This window comes from Homo sapiens, chromosome 4 (genome assembly GCF_000001405.40).
Source record: "Homo sapiens chromosome 4, GRCh38.p14 Primary Assembly".
In the NCBI taxonomy this organism is placed as follows: domain Eukaryota; kingdom Metazoa; phylum Chordata; class Mammalia; order Primates; family Hominidae; genus Homo; species Homo sapiens.
In genome coordinates, this window is record NC_000004.12 from 181,603,812 (window position 1) to 181,627,626 (window position 23,815).

General features: G+C 40.8%; 1 protein-coding gene across 6 annotated transcripts in view, besides 1 other annotated feature; it reads left to right on the top strand.

The window, feature by feature from the left end:
* TENM3 (teneurin transmembrane protein 3) overlaps window positions 1-23,815 on the top strand; it is a 1,355,412-nt gene that overhangs the window by 156,199 nt on the left and 1,175,398 nt on the right. The gene's annotated exons all lie outside the window — the stretch shown is intronic.
* Window positions 19,816-21,015: an enhancer, noted in NCBI's record as "CDK7 strongly-dependent group 2 enhancer chr4:182544780-182545979 (GRCh37/hg19 assembly coordinates)". NCBI's record gives its function as "activates an origin of replication core promoter dependent on BRD2, BRD4, P300/CBP, MED14 and CDK7 cofactors, with strong dependence on CDK7, by STARR-seq in HCT116 cells {active_cell/tissue: HCT116}" and the evidence as "EXISTENCE:reporter gene assay evidence [ECO:0000049][PMID:35650434]".

Here is a 23,815-nt window from a genome sequence, read left to right on the forward strand (position 1 = left end):
CCATCACTAATAAACTGCATGAAAGAGGCTAGAAATAAAGATGACTTCGACTTGCCTAAAGAAATTCCTATTGTGGATAGAGCTTTGAGTTGCCTGGACCTATCATAGCTATGTAATAAAATAGAAGTCTTCGTTAACAGATAGGAAGGCCTGATTAGATATCTGAATGATTGCCGGGCGCGGTGGCTCACGCCTGTAATCCCAGCACTTTGGGAGGCCGAGGAGGGTGGATCACGACGTCAAGACATCGAGACCATCCTGGTTAACACGGTGAAACCCCGTCTCTACTAAAAATACAAAAAAATTAGCCGGGCGTGGTGGCGGGTGCCTGTAGTCCCAGCTACTCGGGAGGCTGAGGCAGGAGAATGGCGTGAACCCGGGAGGCGGAGCTTGCAGTGAGCCGAGATCGCGCCACAGCACTCCAGCCTGGGCGACAGAGCGAGACTCCGTCTAAAAAAAAGAAAAGAAAAGAAAGAAAAAGATATCTGAATGATCTTTCATTGAATAAAGTAATCTCTCTGCTAACCAATAGGCACTCAAAAGCAAAACAAAACAAAAATCAGAAATTTCGCTTGCATTTGGAGAACAAAACAGAAAGCCCTGTGATACCCTTCAAAATACAAATGATCTCCTTACTGTTTCCCAGGGGGGACATCTCAGTCTTCCCCCACCCTCTTACTTAAGACACATTTTCCTGCTTCAAGCCTCAAATGGGATGGCTGTGCGTTCCTCGGGGCCACTGGAGCCCACCTCCAGCAGCAAGTCCAAAAAGTGTACCCGTTCTGGAGTGCCCACGCCAGAGTGTGGCCATCCTACCTACTCAGTGCCCCTGCCTCCTCAGCTGACATTCTGCTGTAAGAGTACTTGTTTTCTAAACAGAAAGGTAAGAATGCTTTATGTGTGGCATTTCATCACCACGACTGTTTACCAAGATCTGACTGAGATCTGGTGTGGAATGCATCCTAGTCATATAGCCTAAGAGGTAGCACAGAATCAGGCTGTAGCTTCTGGGTGAAAATGTCCTAGCTGGCATCTCAGCTGTCTGAGACGTTGGGGAATCATTTAACCTTGCTGCACCTCACTCTCCTCATCTGGAGAATAGGGTGATAAGACTACCCCATATTATTGTTGTGGAGGTTGATTTAATGTGTGTTATTGCGCAAAGTGTTTATTAAATGATGGCCATTATTATTACTGTGGTGTAATATAGTCATGTAATCTTACATCCACCATGTGATTTAGAGTCACTTGAAATTATAAATGCAGCATTAGTGTACAATGTTATGTAACCCTATTAGCTCATGGGGTAAAGAAAGAAATACGTAAGGGACCAGGTAAGAAAACAAGCAAACCAGCCGGCGTGGTGGCTCACGCCTCTAACTCCACCACTTCGCGAGGCCGAAGTGGGTGGATCACGAGGTTAGGAGATAGTGACCATCCTGGCTAACATGGTGAAACCCCATCTCTACTAAAAAGAAAAAAGAAAAAAAAGAATTAGCCGGGTGTGCCTGTAGTCCCAGCTACTCCAGAGGCTGAGGCAGGAGAATCTCTTAACCTGGAAGGCGGAGGTTGCAGTGAGCTGAGATCGCCCCACGACGCTCCAGCCTGGGCAACAAAGCGAGACACCATCAAAAGAAAGAAAGAGAGAGAGAGAGAGAGAGAGAAACAGAGAAAGAAAGAAAGAAAGAAAGAAAGAAAGAAAGAAAGAAAGAAAGAAAGAAAGAAAGAAAGAAAGAAAGAAAGAAAGAAAGAAAGAAAGAGAGAGAAAGAAAGGAAAGAAAGAAAGAAAGAAAGAAAGAAAGAAAAGAAAGAACAAGCAAACCAGCACCACATATGACATTTATAATAAAATCAACTCATATTCTTAAGCATAAGAGAAAGCATATAATGCAAGAGTACTAGAAAAGTACTAGAATAGAATCAAACTCTCATCTTAGAAATGGTATTTTTGGAACATTATTATAATCTAATAAGTGGTACCCTAATTGTCCAAAAACAAGTTAGCAGTTAAAATCTTTTGATAGTATTGGGCCTATGGGATTCAAGCATGAGTTAAATTTTGACTTGATTTTTCCTCGGGGCAATTTCCAACTCTGAGAGCATGGGATTCATTTATAGGTTTGGATTTAATTTGGACCGTCCACATCATCCTTTTCTTCAAATGACCTGAGGGTGCTGAAGTGAGTTCCACTTTCTTTTCCTTCCTCAGTTCCTCATGGTGGTAAATGAGTACCCATCCAGATGCTCCAGCCAAAACTCTTGATTCTAAGACCTTTCAATTCTACCCTCAGATTACATCCTATATACACCTGCTTTGCTCCACCCTGCTGCCATTTTCCTGGTCCAATCCACCAAAATCTGCCACCAGAGTCCCCTAAGCAGACATCGTGTTTCCGGTCTTGTCTCTCTCCAATCTACTGGAGCAGCCAAAGGGACAGTCAATGTCCATGTTGTCCCACTGTTTGAATAACTCCACAGCATGCCCCTGTCTCTCTCTGTGCCATGCCAACCAACCCAGCTTGCAACTCTTCAGCCACACTGACCTCCTCTTGTTCCTTCCGTTTTTCAGCTGCTTTCCAGCCCCAGGACCTCTGCAGGTGTTCTTCTCTTTGCTGAGAATGCCCTTTAATCTACTCTAGACAATGCTTGGTTCTCAGTTACATACTGTGTGCATGTCTGTGTGTGTATGTGCATATTCATTCATGAGAGAGAAGACTGTGGTCTGTAAGAAATGGAGAGAACTGCATTACTCAGGGAAAATCTGGCTTTGCTCATGAATGGATCCATGGCCTCACATGCAGGTACTAGAGCCTGATTCTCATTTCCTCTGCTCTTGTTGTTCTTTCTGTAGCCACCAGTGCCAGGCAGTCTTTTTTGTATGGTAAGATGGTTGCTAGTCTTATGTGGTCTCCTCTTAGCAACTCTAGCAAAAGAAGGAGGAGCTTTTCATACTTAGCCACTCAAGCAGAAGGCCAGAATGACTTCTAATGAGGCCTCATAGCCAGGGCTCCAAGGGCAGAATGTCTTAATCTCTTACTGTGGCTAGGGAGTTGCAAGACTCGGTTCACCAGCCCAGGGCCATTTGCGGGAGCCATGGGTAGAATCAGCTCCACTTACACCGCTTGGCTGAGAATAGTGGAGAGATGATCGTTACCAGCAGAGACAAGAGTGGATAGCAGCCAGCCAAACACAATGAATAAAATAACACAAGCTTGTTCACTTATACAAAACCAAGTGAACCAGAATGTTCTCACAACTTCCAGTTATGCTTCGTACTAATGGAAAGGGCCTGCTCTCAGCCAAAAGTAGACAGAGTTGGAATTTGGTCTTTGGCCCTTATCCTGCCTGCTTTGGGGGCCATTTGCCATCTTTAAGATCAAGAATATTCCTGCACATATACTATCAGCCACTCTTCCCTTGGAGCAGCCTATGTTTTTGTTCACCAGACTGTCCAGTAGAGCTTTCATGGTGATAGTCTATGTCAGTGCTGACTAATACAGTAGGCACTAGCCATAAGCAGCTATGGAGCACTTGAGATGCAGCTAATGACGGAGGAACTCAATTTCTTGAATTTTATTTAGTTTTAATTAATTGGCATTTAATTTTTTTTTTTTTTCTTTTTGAGACGGAGTCTCACTCTCTTGCCAGGCTGGAGTGCAGTGGCACGATCTCGGCTCACTGCAACCTCCACCTCCTGGCTTCAAACGGTTCTCCTGCCTCAGCCTCCCGAGTAGCTGAGATTACCATGCCCAGCTAATATTTTTTTGTGTTTTAGTAGAGACGGGGTTTCACCATGTTGGCCAGGATGGTCTCGATCTCCTGACCTCGTGATCTGCCTGCCTCAGCCTCCCAAAGTCCTGGGATTACAGGAGTGAGTCACCGTGCCTGGCCATCATTTAAATTTAAATAGCCGCCTGTGGTCAGTGGCTACCACACTGGCCAGCGCCGCTCTAGATCTTTCTTGCAGTTTATTCTCACATCAAAACTTTTCAAGCCAAATTGCTCTGCCAAATCAATTTATTATAATGAGTGAAAAATGACTTCATTTATTAATACTTTCAAATTAATTGCTTATATTCTATCAGGAATTTTCAAAGCCTTAAAGGAAAAGAGTGGCAAATGGTGACAATTGGGACATTTTTCCTTGATGCAAAAGTCTACTTGGTACCTCTCAAATCATATCAAATATTTTGCTGCATAAAAATTATGTTCCCAAAGTAATCACTGAGCAATTGGCATGTAGGTTTGTAAGGTGCAAACACATCTAATAATTTGTTGTCACCTTTGGATAGTAAGCTATTTAGATTTTACAAACTCTTGTTTCTTTAGAGGTAAGTTTTAGCCTCTGTAACCCCAATTTCTACTTGCCTAAGAGGGAGAGAGCAAGAGAGAGCATGCAGGCTAGAGAAACAATTTAGAGAAATTTGCAAAGTACCTTTTAAGAGATGAATGAGTACAACATTAAAGCAAACATGCATAATTTGAAAATAATTTGAGGAATTTGCATTGTTTTGACAAATTGAAATCTGCCCCTCTCCAAGAGGTTCCAGGAGACCAGATGGTCGTGCAGTGTATTGGAGGGGGTCCAAAGTTGCTTTTGTGTTCATTGATGTAGTGTGCTAAGAAAGGTCTCTGGGGAAAAGTATCCCCAGGTAGTTGATTGCTTTGGAGTTCCAGCAGAGAGTAACTGTGTCATATGAGAAAGGAAACAGAAGTTATTGAGAACTAATGCCTTGGATTGGACCGGCTAATTTTATCACTGGAAATTCAGGAAAATATTTCAAAAAATATCAGAAAGGTATTTCTGAGACAGGGAGAGGAATTGGTAAAGAACTGAAGTAAATTAGCAGCATACAGACCCAGTCTGACTTCCCTTTGGTGTGTAGAAGATCCTTGAATGTTATCAAGTGCGTATGAAGCTGTGTCAAGGGGTTCAAGGGCTTTGCTTTTTAATTTTAAAGTGCTGACCCTAATCAGCTGAGCGAGGAAAGGTAGTTGATTGGGATGGAGCCTGACATTGGAAAAGCTTAGCATCTCTTCAAAAAGCATGTGCTATTTAATTGGAACATTCACACCCGCTAATAGTAGCTGTTTAAAATGACACATCAACAAAGAGAGCCACTGTTTTGGGGGTTTCCAAAGACGAAAATCACACAAGCAACTCGGCAATTTTACCTAATGGGAAGTTACGGTTTTGCTTAGTATGAGGGGAAGGAGTACTCACTCTTCATTCCTGCTTTTTGTGCAAACCTTTGCAAAAGGAAGACAGGAAAGGAGAAAGGAAGTAAGGGGAAAAAAAGGAGTAGGGTAGGGAGTAAGGCAGGGGCCAGGAATGTGGGTGTGAAGGAAGTGCTGAAACAGAAAAGGGGGTGAGGAGGCCGTTTTTATGAGCTCCCATTTCTCCTAAATTTACACTGTCAATGGTTTTACTCTTACTAGTTTATTTTTCTTTTGACTTCTTTTTTCCATAAAGTTGGATAGAAATGCTTATTGCTGGAAGGGAAATAAGATGCTTTTTTCATAATAGCCAGTGAAGAGGGTTTTTTTCCACATCACTCTGTAAGCTTTTTAATACAGTTGCTTAATATACTGCCTAGAATATATTGCAGTTTTTTGCATTTCTCTTTTAGACTTTTTCACTTAGTGTTCTTACCATTAGGAGAACAGTTGTCTGACCTTTTTCTAGGAGGTTAATAAAGAATGCACAGCCCCATGAGCCTGATTCAATTTCCTTTATGTGAACACGCTGCATAAGTGACCATTATATTTGTCTGCTTCTCCGTGCTTCGTTCCATAGTTCCCAGCCTTTTATATGAATGACCACATATGTTGTGCATTTGGCCACATCAGGTGAGAAAAAGCAAAATAGATTTTCTTGAGCATTCAATCCAGTTTCCACACAATGGGCTCTCTAATGTGGATTTGAAATGTATCTGGTCATATATTATTTAACTGCATTGTATTTTGTGTTTTAAAAATTTCCACCACATATTCGATTTTAACAAATGTATGAGGCGCTGCAATATTTGAGCTCTATATTTTAGAAATTCCACACTTTCAACAGATTCTTCAGACTTCAAAGAATTTAATATTAGTACCATAAAAGGTCTTTTGAAGAATAATACTGGAACATAAGAAAAACGACTGCCTGAGTGTACCCTATCATTTAGAAAGTGTTTTATTGCTTTAATTTCCTGTCTTCGTAAAGTAACAAGCAGCACAATAGAAGATATATTGTTACAGAGTTTGCAATTTATTAGAAGGCTTGAGCAAGTTGAAGACTTTATGTGAAGTGAAAAAGAAAACCTCTATTTCGCTGAAAAATGGAGACGAACCACATCAATGTTGCAGCAGCTTTAAATGGAGTCCCCTTTTTGACTGATAAGTTGTCTCTACACACCCTGTATGTTTGCATGAAATAAATCTATGGGCACAATCCTCATTTTGGGCTAGCTGTGTGTCATTAGGTTCCTAGAAACCTAATGTTATTTCATTTGTGAGGCGTGTATAAGATGACTGTTGCTATTTGGATTCTATAGCACAAAGGTGCCATTAAAGCAGAAATGACCCATAACATACATTTCCATTCATTTATTACATTTTTTGCATGCGTGACTGAATTTTAATCCCGGGTTTTGTCAACCTAGTGCAGTTACATCGAGCTTTTTAGCATAGTTTCATGTACCTCAGTTCACTGTCTTTTACACAGAGGCGTAAAAGCATTAAAAAGGAAGATATTTATCCCACTGAAGTACAGAGACAATTCATTTCTGCACCAAAAATTGTAGAAATGAGTGATGTGACACAATGACTAACCTGTAAAAATAAAGTTGAAAAATTACCTCATAAATAACTTCAGAGAAGGGGGAAGCAGGATATTTAACAAGTCTGGGGGGTGGTGTGTGTGTGTCTGTGTGTGGCTTTTCTTTAATAACACGGTAGGTACTCAGATGAGCGGACATCAAGCAGCCCTCTGGAATGGAAGCTACCTGTTTATCAGGGCAGAACAAGAAGTATAAGAATCACAGGTGCTCCTTAATCCCACCACTGTTCTCCGACCAAAAGATTGCAAAACATCTGTTCCTAACAGATTGTTTAGTTTTTCTACTAAATAAATCAAAGTGGGAAATATTACCATGTGGAAAGCCACTGGAAAAGACCCAAAGGTCAACTGACCTCAAGTTTGTTAGTTCCAATGATTTTAGCCAAATTAGTAGGTTTCACAAGTCAGAGAGTTATCTTTATCACTCTTGATTATATTTTGGATGCATGCTAAGGAACATGTTGTGCCATGTTAATTACCTAAATTCATTGACTGATGGATTTAAATTAGTACACCTAAGCGTCATAGCTGCAGTACTTGTAGGCGAACGTGGGAGAGCCCAGACGTTTCTGGTTTTCTCCGTTATCTATGTTTATCTTTGGAAGAATAATTATTTCCAAGCTTTATTGCTAACTGAAGCACAAAAGATATCCTCTGGGCGTGCCGCAGACAATCCTCAGGCACATTAGAGGAGTCATCTAGAGTTAGTTCAAAGTGAATTACTTTATTTTAATCATGGTGACTTTACCGACTGTGTCAATACCCTGTCCCGTCATGTTGTCAGACTTTTATTCCTCCTCTTCTGCGTTTTTTCTTTTTTCCTTTCTCCTCTTTACATGATACCCAGGCCACTTTATTTTAAGGCATATTTTTTAGTCTATTCAAGATTTACGGATAGAATGGCACTTCAAAATGACTCGTCTTGTATTACACGATACGGAGTCTGTTTGGTAACTCTTTTTCCTCCAAATCCTTGGCTAAAATCTGTGGACAATGCTTTATTTTTTTAAACAACCACGTGAGTACTTAATGTGAGGCATTTGACAATTATAGAGTTATAATGAGTGCAAACTTTAAAATGCAAATAAAATGCTGCACTCAGGGCTACTAGAGATTAAATATTTACTTCATCCTCACTAATTCACAAACAGGAAGCCAGGGTACAGAAGGCACAGAGACATCTGCATCTAATGGTTATTCAGTTCACCAACTAAAAGACACATTTGATCACTTGGAATTCACTTTAAATTCTGTGTAAAATCACTTTGGAAATCTCTTGGGTAGTGTGGCATTTTGCCATCAGATCCCATACATAATATATCTATTTTTTTCTGACATGATTATTTTCTCATTTACTTAGTTCTTGTTGCAAAAGTTAATGGTAAGTGTGGCCTTTATGCCTCAGGAAAAATATATTTTTTCTGACACTTCTCAGGGATCTCGTGTTCCTTTGCTCCGTTCCTGCTGTACAGAGGAGACGTCCGCCCCCAGAGCCCCAGCCTCTCAGTGCCAGTGGCCTCTGTGTCATAGTTTCATTCATCATTTCAGAGATGAGGGTCCCCTCGCCCAACACACGAAAGCTCTATAATTACTTTCATTTCTTGGTTAGCATAGGTCATGGAACTAGTGTTAATAATCATCTTTCCCTCTGGACTTCTCTGTATTTATATATCTCTGATCCCATCACCGTTGGGACCATAGAGGTGTATTTTATCTTCATTTCAGTCCTCATGGTATTGTTTCAGCCCAGGGGGGAAATCAAATGAGGTACAGAACATGGTAAGTTCACACTACTCTGAGGTCATTAACACCTAATTAGAAACAGCTTAGAGATCCAAATGATTCTTTGGTTAAGATGTGTGTGTGTGTGTGTGTGTGTGTGTGTGTGTCAGAGAGAGAGAGAGCTGACAATATTTAACTTCTTCATTGCCAGTATGGTCTTTATCACCAACGGCTGGGGCAATACCTCATTGTGTTTTATCAAACCTTAAGTAGGAGTATTTGTATGTGTGTGTTTTCCTTTTCTTTTTTTCTTTTTATGTGATAGGATACGCAGTCTGTTAAACCATCGAATAGCAAGAAGAGAAGACTGTCTAAAGGCTTAACATACTAATTGATTTTTCCTTAACAGAAAGCCATAATATTACTTCAGTTGAGGCCTAGACAACCTACAGATAAAGTTTTCTAAATATTATGTGATGAGAAAAACATTACCTATTTAAATAAAAAAGATACAACACTATTTTCATACCAATTTGAGGGACGTTAAATCCTGTGTTGCCAGGATAAGAAAATACTTCCACCTAAAAATATGACAGCCATCTATTTGTAGTACCTTTTTAATAGGTCTTAAGTTTCTCTACATGGCAACTTTTAAAAGCTTCTAACATTTTATTTGTTCTAAATGTATAGTTACTCTAATGCCTATCATGCCGTTTGGTATGTTGAAAAACTCTAAGAGAATTCACGCCTTTGTGAATGCTGTTCTACTGAGGACCTTGTTTCCCTAGGACAGGTCTAAGTTCAAAAGACAGAAGTTAGATGTGGAAAACACTGCTGCCTCTAGTTTAGATGCTACGTACGTGAAGGGGAGACATCTCCTTCTCCTTGTTCCTAGATTTGCAACTCAGTGTTTTAAATATTTGAGACATGTTTTCTGCCAAAGGATTCCTTCCCCTCGGGAACTAAACCCACACTAGCAAAGCCCAGCTGGTGGGAGCAGAGCCCAGGAGCCACCAGCTGCGGGAATGTAGGGGATGCTGAGGGAAACTTGGCTGTCAGTTCCAGGCCCATCAGTCTCCCCAGACCTTGCTGATTGCCTAAATTCTTCTTTCAGATGTCCTGGGAGTATGCCTGCCCTCAGCTCTCCTAACGCAGAGGCAGTATATCAGCAGAGTTAAGGTCTACTGTGCTGGGAACAGACTATTGGGTGTAAGCCCAGCTATGCCGCTGACTTTGTATTATGTCTCTCTGCCTCAGTTTCCTCAAATGCAAAACAGGGAAAATGATAAAAAATAACACGTCCTTCCCCAGGTTGTTATGAGGGTGAAATAACGTAAAAAGCTTAGAATCATGTTGATTTATTCAGATAAACCACTGGTTCCCAAATTGTGATTGGGGGGCCCCTTTCAGGAGGTCCATAAGACCAAACCTATTTTCACTTTAACATTAAGATGTGATTTAACTTTTTTACTCTTACTTTCTCATTAGTGGGCTAAGAGTGTGCAAAAGCCACACACGTGACCTGTGATTTCATAACAAATTGAGTGCAGAAGTAGGTGAGAAAATCCAGCTGTATTCTATTAGGCCAGAAAGGAAGGTCTTTGCAAAAATGTCAAACAAAGCCACTTTTCTCATTATGATTTTGTTTTGGAAAGCATAGTTATTTTTTTACCAAAATATGTTATTTCTGTTAACATACAATGGAGCTATTATTGTTATTTTAAATATAAATTCATACATAAATTTTTTCATTTCTCAATTTAAATTTCTAATATTATAAATATTGATAAATATAACCCACATAGACAAAAGCTCTTTGGTGTCCTCAAAGATTTTTTTCATGTAAAGAAGTCCAAATATTTCAGAATTACTAATATAAGCTATTATGACTATCAGTTTCTCCCACCTGTAAGTTTTGCGTTTTTCTCCTGCAAACTGCCTGCCTAGTGAAATGTTGTCTTCACATCTCTCCCTTAAAAAAAGATCTGATTTTTTTGTCTGTTTGTTTTTACAGGATTTTGGGGGACAGTAATTTTTAAATCACCAGACACAACCAACCAAATGTATTTACAATTCTGATTCCTGGGCTCTACCTCCAGAAATCCTGATTCCAAAAGTTTAGATGAGACCCAAGAACCTGGATGTTTAAACTCTAAGTGATGCTGAGATATTACCATGTATTTTAAAGGCAATCTTGCCCAAGGATCTCCATATTCATCTCCGCAGATTTAACACAGTCTCTGCATTCAACTGTTCTTCCTGCTCAATGTGAGCTTACCACATTTCCTCACTGAAGGGTGAGCAGTCTTTGTAGCTGAGAGATGTCATCAAAATGCACAGTAGATACCTCCCAGACTTCTATGGGCGATTTGCAACTTTGAGGATTGCGAAAACTATCTACCAGCTTTCTAGATGTCTGCATAGCCCAGTAGGAATTAACTTTGCAGCCATAAGTAGCTCCTTCAACTGCAAATTTCCTCCAGGCTCATTTAAGCTCTGAGGATGATGGAGGTAAAAGAGAAAGTATAGGGAGAAGACTGGTTGTGGGGAAGATCCGAGAAAGGCTGAGGATGGACCCAGCTAGCTTGTAGAGTGAATCAGACTCCTGGCCTGAGTTCTCACGGCATGATTTTTATTTCTCTTTTGGAAATGGAAGGCAGGGGAGAGAGACAGGATGTAGAATCCACAGCTTGCTGCTGAATGTCTAGGTTCCCAGGCTGATCACTGTTCATCATTTGTGAACATTTGTATTTACCTTCCTTGAATCACTCCTCTGGGATCAGAGAGGTTCATCTGTAAGCTTTTATTTTCAAGACTTACTAGGACTGGGTGGGAGAGTCCAAGCCTTCAAAACCATCCTCCAGCTTAATTTTCTAAATAGCAGCTCTCTACTGTATTCTGATTGATTTGTGACTGGTTATGAAAGATCTACCAGAGAAAGACGCATTAACCCCAGATAAAATTTACAAAAAGAATCCTGACCGCAGCTCAGGATCTTTCAAAAGAAAAATGTCATGAAGTCTACTATCACTTAATGAATATCCCACGCCCGTTCAACTACCACCTACCACCCCCTACCTTCACTCACTAAAGTTTTCTCTACATCAATCCTTCAGTTATAACCATGTGCCCTTGAATGTATTACCATTTTTATTAAGTATTTTCATAATTCCATTTAGAAGGCAAATGAATTATTTCAGAGGAAAGCAAAAACCAAAATTGAATGGGTACATCAAACATCCAATATAGTAACTCCCAGCAGCTCAAAATGCATTATGAGGGCTTTCTACACCAGCCGTGCTCCTACTAATGCTTAGAGAGAATTTTTCCATGAGTTTAAAATACAGTATTAATTCTGCAAGGTCAGAGGGTACCTCGTGAACAAAATATGTTAGTTGATTGTGTTCGTCGTGATTGTGCCAATAAGAAAGACCTCAGAATGTGAAACCTTTGAAAAATTTCCTGTAGGGAAGATATTTTACCATCTATTAGGAGCTAATACTTCTTACTTTGAGAAAGTCATTTTATTATCCACATAAAGAAAGAAGTTTACTGTGAGAAAACTGAGACAGAAAAATTTTAAGTACTTTTTAATAACCAGTGGTAACTAATAGTCTCATTTCCTACATTTGTTTTGTGGTTATTAGAGCAGATCTTCTTGATTTTGGTTGAGAGAGAAAGAGAACATGTTTCCCCCCCACACTTTGGCAATTAAATGTAAATAACAACACAAATGCAAAATGTCAACAGAGACAATTTGTTTCCAACTTGGTTTAATCCTTTAGGTAATTTTTAGTATGTGATGTTAATTTGTATTAAAATGAATACATACACAGGCTGAAAAGGGAATCAGTGTATTCCATATGCTAATATTTCTCAAATCTGAGAAGGTGATGGGACCTTCCCTGTATTAGTAAAGGTTTCCAAAAAAAAAAAAAAAAAAAAGAACCCATAGAATACACACACACACACACACACACACACACACACACGTATGCATATATATCAATAGGATATATATATATATCAATAGGATATATATATACCCCTATATATATAAGTAGGGTATACTCATATATATATCCTATCCATATAATGTAATATTATCCATATAATTAATATACTATAATATCCATTATCCATATAATATTATAATAATATAATATCCATTATCCATATAATACATGTATATTATATGAGAGGATTTAGTGGGGGAATTGGGTCATACAGTTTTTGAGGCTGAGAAGTTTTACAATAGGCCGTCTGCAAGCTGGAGAACCAGGGCATCCAGTGATGTAACTCAGTCAAAGGCCAAAGGCCTGAGAACCTGGGGGCTGCTGGTTCCAGTCCTGAAGTCCAGAGGCTGGAGAATCTAGAGTTCTAATGTCCGTGGGCAGGAGAGGATGGGTGTCTCAGCTCCAGAAATGAGAGAGTAAATTCACTCTGCCTTTTTGTTCTACGTGTGTGCTCAGCTGTTTGCATGGTGCCCACCCACAGAGTTGAAGGCAGATCTTTTACTCAGTCCACTGATTCAAATACCAATGTCTTTCGGAAACTCCCTCATGGACATACTCGTAAATAATGCTTTCTTTACCGTTTTCTGGGTAGCCCTTATTCCAGTCAGGTAGACACCTTAAAATTAATGATCACACCCCCTTATGCAAACTTGGCATGTCTTCAGTGTCTTCTATATTCCCATCATCTTGCTACTGCGGCACCCACTATCACACACACTAATGCACCAATCTTCACAAAATTATGCATATAAATCTTGTAAAATGATCGAAAGACAGATAATAGATGGTCCAGTGGAATTTAGATTTAGAGAAATTTATTCATCAAATATTTCATCATATTCAGAAAATATTATTTGTTAAGAATTGTGCTAGGAACTGGGAATTCTGTGGGGAAAAAAATAGAGGCAGCAGACAGTAACCAATAACCAAAAACGTTTTAATTCAATTTAAACGTTCAGTTTCAGTAGGCGTCATGAAGTAACTATACGGGGTGATGTGATAGGGAATGATCAAAGGAAGGGAATATTTCTAGATTAGCCCTGCAAAGGTAACAAACATTTTAGCAGAGACTAGACTGTTGAGACTGGGTTGGGGACAGAGCTGCAGGATGCTTCCCTGCAGTAGGAACAGGAAGCACCAAGGGCCATGGTGGGAAAGTCCGGTGCCTACAGAGCAGACAGAGTGCAAGAGTGGGCAAAGATGCCAGACAGGGACTTTGTCTACCATGGTGATTAGTTGGAGGTTCTGTTCTATTTACAATGGGAGGCCCTTGGAAGGTGTAAGCTGGGAGTGACATAATCGTCAATGAGCTCATGGACTACGACTAGAAATATGGAACACCTAATTACAACTGCACTAATTATTGTCAAGGAAAATTTCTCCTTATGCCCTGAGTTGTGGGAATGTGGAATTACCATGAGTAAACTGGATACCCTACAACTTCGCATTAGTAAAGCCAACACCACTATTGAAAAGGATTTCTACAAAGACAGATACATCAGAAAATGATAGCTCATTTGGTGGAGCAGAGAAACAAGGATTGCATGTTTCTGCAAATAATGCCAGCAGCCACAAGCTGAAAGGTAATCTTTATTGAGTGCACAGTATGGATTGAACTTGAAGTTCTATATCTGAGCTTCCACCCTACCTACATATACATAGCACAATCAGCATCAGTGGTGTCATCTGAAAATTAAGAGCAACAATATAAAGTTTGCAGTCAACGGCTCAGGTTTTGACATTTACTTCCCCTGAGTATAGCAGGCTTCTTATCTAAGGAGTCTGCATTTGTGACAGACCATGGCCCTTATGAGTTCCCGCAGGCACTCTAGGGTGAGTTGGGAGCCAATTTATCAACATCGATGACTTACACCAGTTTCAGTCCTCTCATCACTCTTTGGCAGACTCATCCAGCTAGCGAGCAATTAGCTGTGTCCGCTCTGCAGCACTTCATTCAGGGAAAGCAGCAAAAACTTTCTAAGATGACTGGAACTCCACAGATATATCCATCCCATTGCTCGATCACTGCTGGAAAAGGCAGTCAAGGGTATTAGCTTATCAGCTGTTGACCAGAGGGTGATTTCAGTGTCAGTTTTAACTTCCTACAAGTTGCCAATGTCTGCAGTGTGGGAGTCTATTTTTGGCCAAAGATTTAGGAGGCAATGGTAGTTTTGAAATGCCTAAGGCTTCTAAGCCAATTTGGAAAATTCAGAAGTCTGAATGCAATAAAGTTCTATAGGTAGAACTCATCCTACGAATATTTTCATTGCAAAGGGAAAGCCTAAAACTTATTTCTCTTGGGATTTCCTCATCTGGAGCGTGTAATAAAGTGGTCTTTGGTCAGACTAGTGGGTGTGTGGCTACAATTTTTACAAAAGGGATCTTACAACACGAAATTGATTAGTGGGGTGAACCAGGTTCCCACTTCAGTGTTTTGCTTCTGGAAAATAGGGAGAAAAGACAAGAGTACTGGGATTGTTTATGAATGCCAACTCAACAAAGTGGGCACACTGGAGAATTCAGAGCAAAACAAGACTGCTTGCTGTGATGGGTGCTTCCACTTTGCCCCTGCAGATCCACTCTCTACTTCTGCACCCTGCTTGGCATCCTGGAAGGCTGACCTTTAGGGACCACATAAGCAGGCTTCCTTGCTCTCTGACTTCCGGTTGAGCCTAACCAATGGGAGGCCAGCAGAGATTGAAGCAGGAAGGAGAGTGTAGTAGGGATGCGCATTACCCAAGCCTCTCCCAAGGGGGCCGTGAGGAGATACTGTCCCTCTGCTAAGGCACAGCTTCCTCGGAGTGGCCGTCTGCTCTACTTGCAGCTCCTTTTGCTGGGGACCACAAAGTGCCCCTCAACTTTACAGGCTTAGGGCTGGTTTCCCCAAGCCCTGTCCATACCCTCATCAATAGCCCTTTATTAAAGCCTTCTGTGATCCTGTTTGTGTGATCTATTTGTATTTCTCACATATATAAATAATCCATGGCTAATTTTTACAAAGGAAAAAAGTTCTTTATAACATCAAAACTTAATACCCATTTTTAAATTTTTATTTTATTTTATTTTAGAGACAGAGTCTCACTCTATTGCCCAGGCCAGAGTGTAGTGGCACGATCATTGCTCACTGCAGCCTAGAACTCATGGGTGCAAGCAATTCTCTTGCCTCAGCCTCCTGTGTAGCTGGGACCATAGGCACACACCACCATATTTGGCCAATTTTTTTTTATTTTTTATTTTGTAGAGACGGGGTCTCACCATGTTGCTCAGGCTGGTCTTGAACTCCTGTGCTCCAGCAATCCTCTCGCCTCAGCCTCCCAAACTGTTAGGATTACAGACATGAGCCACTGTACCTAACCTCAGTACTCATTTTAAACAAATCAATGCGCATGTCAACCTGCAGTTATCTTCCAAATACAATTGATGGGCCATCAGAGTCATTTGGAAAGTGAGAGGAGCCCCAGGCTCCCGGAGCAGGTGTGTTACTGCTTTCAAAATCCCCGTCAACAGCCGTATTCATTGTGTGGCAGTCAGGAAATGAAACTTTAGGCATTTGACATCCTAACCTGGCAATTGATTGGAGGTTTTTATTTGATGTGTAACAAACTATATTTTTTCTCATTTAAAATATGCTCTTCTCCCTCACTTTGGGAGGCCGAGGCAGGCAGATCACTCGAGCCCAGGAGTTTCTGTCCAGCCTGGGCAACATAGGGAGACTCCATCTCTACAAAAAATACAAAAGTTAGCTGGGCGTGGTGGCACATGCCTGTGGTCCCAGCTACTCGGGAGGCTGAGGTGGGAGGATCACTTGATCCCAGGAAATCGAGGCTGCAGTGAGCTGTCATTGCACCACTGCACTCTAGCCTGGGTGACAGAGGAAAACTCTATCTCAAAATAAAAATAAAAATAAAATAAAATAAAATAAAATAAAATACACTAATCTTTTGGTGTACACGGGGGATTGGTTCCAGGACACCCGCGTATACCCAAATTCGCACACACTCCAGTCCACAGTTGGCCATGTGGAACTGGCACGCACAAAAGGTTGGCTCTCTTTATACACGTGTTTCTCAGCCCACAAATAATATATTTCTAATCCGGGTTTGGCTCTGGGTTGAAAAATATCCACATAGAAGTGGACCCACACAGGTCAGCCCCGCATTGTTCAAGGGTCAACTGTAGTTGGAAATGAACTCTCAATGTTTCATGCAGAAAGCCTGTTTTCCAGGAATAGACTCCTGACATTTGGCAGGGAAAGCCTACGTGAGGAGAAAAGATTCTCACAGAGTCCTTAAAAAAAAAAAAAAAGAAAAAGAGGAGGAAAGAAATAGTTAATAGCAACATAATGTCTGAGTTGATTTCATTATTTGTTAAGTAGAAAAAAATGACAATACCTAAATTGCAGGAATTAAAAATAAGGAATGTGTGCCTGGGACATGTGATTTCTGTAAATGTGAACTGTTATTATGTATCCTAACTATTTTACTGATTTCTCAAATAGAATTTTTTAATGTTACCACTTATGGAAAACAAAAAATGTTTGAGAATTCCTTCATGATCTATGGATGGATGTCATACCTGTAACACAAATAGAATTCAGCTGTCCTCTTGACTTCTGCATTTAGCTAACTCTATGGCACAGACTTACAATGAAACATTTTAACTAGTTTTTTCTCATTATGTGCAAGCAGAGGAGATAGAAGGAATAGCAAAGAAGAAAAAGGGAACCCAGTTGACAATAATCAAAGAGGTCAAATTGCTGATATAGTTAAGAAATTATGATTGAACTGGAATGTGGATGAAATTATTAACAAAAGACTCAAGAGTCCTTCAACTTAATGATTCTTTCATAATCAGAAACCACCATTTTAAGTAAATCTGCACCCTGTAAAGTGCATGTTAAATGAATGATTTTCTTCATGCCTTACCACACTGCTAAGGGAGACAGCTGCTTACTTAGGACAAGGTCAAGAAAAATATTTGTTTAATACTTTTTTCATAACTATATCTTTATTTGTTTTCAGATTTATTACATAGAAGAGCAATTTGACGAGTTAACTACTCATTTTTCCCATATTTTAATGCTATAATACAGAGAACAATAACATATCAATTAACTTTAATTACCCTCTGGCTGGCTACCTTAGATCTCTGCCATCGTAAGCAGTGTGCTTTTACGAATAGCCTCCTGACAGTGAAAACCTCAAGAGGTCGATAACTCCTTTTACAATTTCTGTCCAGGGTCTCACACACACAAAAAAATCATTTAATATATTCTGTATGTTGCCTCATCCCTCCAATATTCTCAGAAGTCAGAATTGTATCATTTATAAGTGGATGGATATTAAAGATAGGTTCGTGGAGTCAAGAAGGGAAAAGATCCAACCACAGGGAAGTGAACTCCCACTACCTGAGCAAGGAACTCCTAAGTTTGTACTAAACTGAGATGCAAAGGTAAGAGGTTCCCTGTGTGTCATGGTTACAAAGCTTAAGCAGCTGGGAGGTGGCCCTGAACTGTGAGAATGAGAATGAAAGGCGAGTATCATTCTCTTTCTCACAGTTCAAATCGAGCCTGTGATACCTTCCAAGTTAATTCACCTGACATACGCACACAATAACTTCCGGTAAAATCTAAAAAACCAAGCATTTAGCCAGATTTAAAATATCACATACTGGTAATACTAGCTCCTCTGATGTAAACTTTGGGCAATGTTAGACACAGGATTAATCCTCTGTCTGATGGACTTTTCCAAGATAGTGATTTCTCTGTATTAGTCAGTCCTGAGATGTCCTACATGGTCAACTGGTCATCTAGAGAGCATCCAGGAAGCAGTGGTCAGCTAGGTCATGCATCGCTATGTGTGCCCCACTGCCTCTTTCCTGCCTCGTTTCCCTTTCCTCTCACCCTTGCAGCTCTTGGATTGTACTCACCAAACACAATACTGGCAATCAATTAAGCAGTAAAATACCAAGAGTCAAAACCTGTTTCTTGAAACCTTCTTCTTATAATAAATACTATAACTAGGCCAGGCACAGTGGCTTGCACCTGTAATACCAGCACTTTGGGAGGCTGAGGCAGGTGAATCACCTGAGGTCAGGAGTTTCAGACCAGCATGGCCAACTTGGTGAAACCCTGTCTCTAATAAAAATACAAAAATTAGCCGAGTATGGTGGCAAGAGCGTGTAATGTCAGCTACTCGGGAGGTTGAGGCAGGAGAATCGCTTGAACCCAGGAAATGGAGGTTGCAGTGAGCTGAGATCGCGCCACTGTACCCCAACCTGGGCAACAGAGCAAGACTCCGTCTCAAAAATAAATAAATAAATATGATAACATGGCTTTTGTATGAGACGGGAGGGCTTCATTGAAATAGAACAAGCCCTGAGATAATGGGCATATAAATTAGGTTTGCCTTGGCCTTTGGTGCCCAACCTTCCACATTCCCTTTCTCTGGTACTTTCCAATTTTTATTGAATGCCTGGTTTTTAGGTACCGAGTGAAGTCATTATGCCTCTAACTCTCCCAGAATTAATTCTTAACTGAGGTACACACATTACTAACTTAATACACATTAACAATGCCATGCGTTACCCTTCCGGTGGCATTACATTTTTTAGAAATAACTTGTAGAAGGGACATTGATAAACCCTAAGGAATTCATTTCTAATAGTAACTTTTCAGACAAATCTATGGGACATAAATTGCTGTGGAAATAAGTTCGAATTAAAAAAAAACTTTTTGGATGCCATTTAAATCACACAAAGTTGACAAAAAATTCAGGATCAGTATTCCATCAGACCTGGGCTCGAATGGCAGTTTTGCTCTTTACAAGCCGTGCGACATTAGATAAGTTACTTAACCTCTCTGTGCCTCAGCTGTAAAATGGGGAAAATAATTAATACCTACCTCATAGGCTCATGATATGATTAAGTGAATTACTACGTGTAAAGTCCTTACCAGCATAAGCAGTGTGCTATACCCTGTAAAGTTCCCACAGTCAAGTGGAGGAACAGGCTTACTTCACAGGACAGTGTGAGCAGGTCTATCACAGGAGGAGGTGAAAATGCTGAAGTACTAAGGAGGAGAGTTAGGCTAACTTTTGCCTGTGTGAACAATCAAGTATTTATTCTTTGTCATGTTTGAGAAATTATTCCATTATCAACTTCTGTTACCAACGTCAAGGCAATGACTCATGAAACTCGGCCTCTTTATTGAGACACTTGATATGAAAATCATTCTTAAAAATCTGTGAAATCATTGTTTAAAGTCACCATCTCATGTGTAGGAGCTGCCGCTAAAATTATTCAGTGCTATAGGCTTTCTTATGCTTCGTAAACAATCAGTTGTTATATTCATTGGAAATTAAAATATCAAGCTATCAGCAAGAGGAGTTCATGTACAAGCAGTGTTTTGATGGCTCTGAGCTATAGAAATCTTCATTCAGATATTAAGCAATTTTATGTTTGAGACACAAAATGAGCTTAAAAGTGAAATATGATGCATAGAAAATGTCTACAGTCTTAATATTGATGTGCTATTTCATAGGATATAGTGATAGAATACCTGTGATTTGGTGGTGTTCTTTTCTTCTTCTCAACAAAGGCCTTGTCCTTGCTCCTTTTTGAGCACAAGCATTTAAAGAGGAGTGAAATTGCCTTTTTGATATTCTGAGCAAATTTGTTGGGTGTGGGAGGAGAACTTTTCACAAAGTAAGTATCTGTCACATAACCAGCCTAGCGTCTACTATATGAACATCTGTATCCCACAAGATGGGCGAGGTTGCACCACAGCAAGAGACACCCCAAACCCTCTGGCTACAAGTTCATCTCAGGTCAGCTGGAGGCTCTGTTTGACTTGTCCTCGCTCCAGAATACAGGCTGATGGAATAAGTGCTGTCCCCAGCATCGCCACTCGCTGGCAAATGAAAAGAGAAAGGCGAAAGCTGTCCAACCACGCACTGGCTCTTAAGGCTTCCAACTCAAATTTCAATGGCCGAAGTAAATCCCATGGCCACATCTACCCTTAAAGAAGCAAGGAAGAGATGTTTTACATGTCCTGGAAGGGAGAGAAGTGGAAAAAAATTAGTAAACAGCCTCATGACTGCAACAATAACTGACCTCTTCTTTGTTCATTTCTTGTGCTATGTTTATGAGCTCACTTTCTCTGATAGGACCAGAAGACATGTAACAAATCCAAGATCATTATTATGAAAGAAGCAAAGAACACCACATAAAGTGATTTTATAAAATTAAGAGGAATAAAGCCACGGTAACATTGGCTGGCACTCAGATGTGGATTTTCTCTATGCTTTCTCCCTAGCCATCTATTGCTGCATAATGAACCACCTCAAAACTTAGTAATTAAAATAAGCACAATTGACTTGCCCACAGTTCTGCAGTTTGGGTTGGGCTTAGCTGATGATTCTTCTCTTGGATCTGCTGAGCTCATTCACACAGTTGCAGTTGTGTGGTGCAGGAAAGGTTGGAAGGTCCACCATGGGCTCACTCACCTCTCTGGTAGTTGATCTTGGCTGGTGCCTGGCTTGCTTTCTCCTCAAGGATCTTTCTTCCTCAAGGAGTCCAACCCAGGACACTTTATACAGTAATCTCAGAGCAACAAGAGGGAAAGAGTGAAAGCCGAAAGCCTTCTTGAGGAGAAGCTAATATGTCATACAACTTCACTTTCCCTGCGTTTTGTTCACCAAATCCAGTACAGGGCCCATCCTGTTCAAGGGTAGCGGAAATAGACTTTTGATGGGAGAAGCAGCACCTTCACATGGCAGAAGAGTGGGATCCAGGGATGGGAGGAAGTGCTGTGTCTACCTTTGCAAACAGTCTACCACGCCTGCAGAGGATGGGATGATCCCTGGCTTTGGGGTCCGCCTTGAGAATGCATAACCAGCCCAGAAAATATAGCATGATATTCCAGAGATTTCTCAACAGGTTTGCTTCTGTTACAAATGGATTGCAGTCTGGAAAATAACTGAAAAATGCATTTTCCATTTGTGAGAAGTGCAGAGATTTTTCCCTTGATTGTTCTGCTACGTCCTGCCCATCAGCAGAGGACTCCATCCCAGCAACTATCTCTGCCTGCTTGCGGAGCACGTGAGCCACCTGCACTTCGCAGTCTCTGATTGTTTTCCTTTTGAAATAATATTGTATACTGCCGGGCGCAGTGGCTCATGCCTGTAATCCCAGCACTTTTGGAGGCCAAGGCATGCTGATCACGAGGTCAAGAGATTGAGACCATCCTGGCTAACACGATGAAACCCCGTCTCTACTAGAAATACAAAAAAAATTAGCCGGGTGTGGCGGCAGGCGCCTGTAGTCCCAGCCACTCGGGAGACTGAAGAAGGAGAATGGCGTGAACCCAGGAGGCAGAGCTTGCAGTGAGCCGAGATGGTGCCACTGCACTCCAGCCTGGGCGACAGAGCAAGACTCTGTCTCAAAAAAAAATAATAATAATAACAATAATAATAATAATATTGTATATCTTGAAAATTCAGTCAAAGTAGAGTGGGAATAAAACCCTCTACACCAATATAAGCAGTGGCCAATGTCACCCATTTCAGGGATTTTTACTGTGGACATTTATTTGCCAAGGTCTGCACAGGCAATGGCAATGTGAATAACCAATCTCATAGAAATAGAAAAACTCATCAGTTTTTCTATGATGTCATGTGATAGAGAAATAGGAAGCCAAAGCTAACTTTGCAAAACTTTGCCAACTGAGCTTATTTGGCAAATGATCTCACCTGGTTCTGCCACAATTGGGTAAATTGAAGGATCAGGAGGGCGGAGCAAGACTAGGCTGGAAGAAGGCTGCGGTGGCAGAGGGGACACTGTGCATGAAGGCCCTCATGCAGGAACAGCACAGCATGATTAAAGAGCAAGAAAAGGCCAGTGTGGCTGGAGGGCATGGTGCCAGATGGGAGGGACAGGAGCTGAGGACAGGAAGGTGGATAGGGACTGTGTTGGTCCATTTTTGCGTTGCTATTAAGGGATACCTGAGACTAATTTATATAAGAAAATTAGTCTAAGATCATTTATAAAGAAAAGAGGTTGCATTGGCTCATGGTTCTGCAGGCTGCACAAGCATGGCTCCAGCATCTGCTTCTGATGAGGGTTCCAGGAAAGTTACAATCATGGCGGAAGGGGAAGTGGAGCCTGCATGTTACATTGTGAGAGCACAGCAAGGGGGCGGGGAGGGGAGATGCCACGCTCTTTTAAACAACCAGATCTCATGAGAACTCAGAGCAAGAACTCACTCATTACCATGGGAATGGAGCTCAGCCATTCGTGAGGGATCTGCCCCTGTGATCCAACACCTGCCACTCAGCCCAGACTCCAACATGGGGAGTCACATTTCAACATGGGATTTGAAGGAAACAAATATGTCAACCATATCAGGGGCCATTCAAACGGGTTTGGATTTGGAAAAGATTTGAACGAGAAAGTGACATAATCAGAGATGCATTTAAAGATCGCTCTAAGTGTTGCGTGAAAAATAGATAATTGGACCAGGGCAAGATAGAAGCAGAACAGGTCTATTGTATAGAATCTAAGGGAAAGATGCTGGTGCCTAGAATGAGACAGATGGCTGAATCTCCAGGACTTTATGACAAAATAAATGTGGGGTGAGTGGAAGACAAGGCGTTAACAAGGTTTCCCTGCAGGAGAAACATGGAGATCTTATCTGACTCTAGTGGCTAATTAAGAAGGGCCAACCACAAGACATTTTCTAAGGAGAGCCCACATTCCTAATCTTCTAAGGCAGTGAGAAGTTTACAAATTGGGGTGTTTTCACCTGAGGGGTGCTTAATATATGGGGTGCAGAAAGAAAATATTAGACCTGCTATACACAGTATTTTACTAAAAGTATAAGAAAACAAGCTCTTTTAATGTTTGATGTTGAGATTGATAATAATATGCTATAAATACTCACAAAGGGAAGTAAGTGTGCACACATTTCTTTTTATTTTTATTATACTTAAGTTCTAGGGTACATGTGCACAATGTGCAGGTTTGTTACATATGTATACGTGTGCCATGTTGCTGTGCTGCACACATTAACTCGTCATTTACATTAGGTATATCTCCTAATGTTTTACCTACCCCCTACCCCCACCCCATGACAGGCCCCAGTGTGTGATGTTCCCCTTCCTGTGTCCAGTTGTTCTCATTATTCAATTCCCACCTATGAGTGAGAACATGCGGTGTTTGGTTTTTTGTTCTTGCAATAGTTTGCTGAGAATGATGG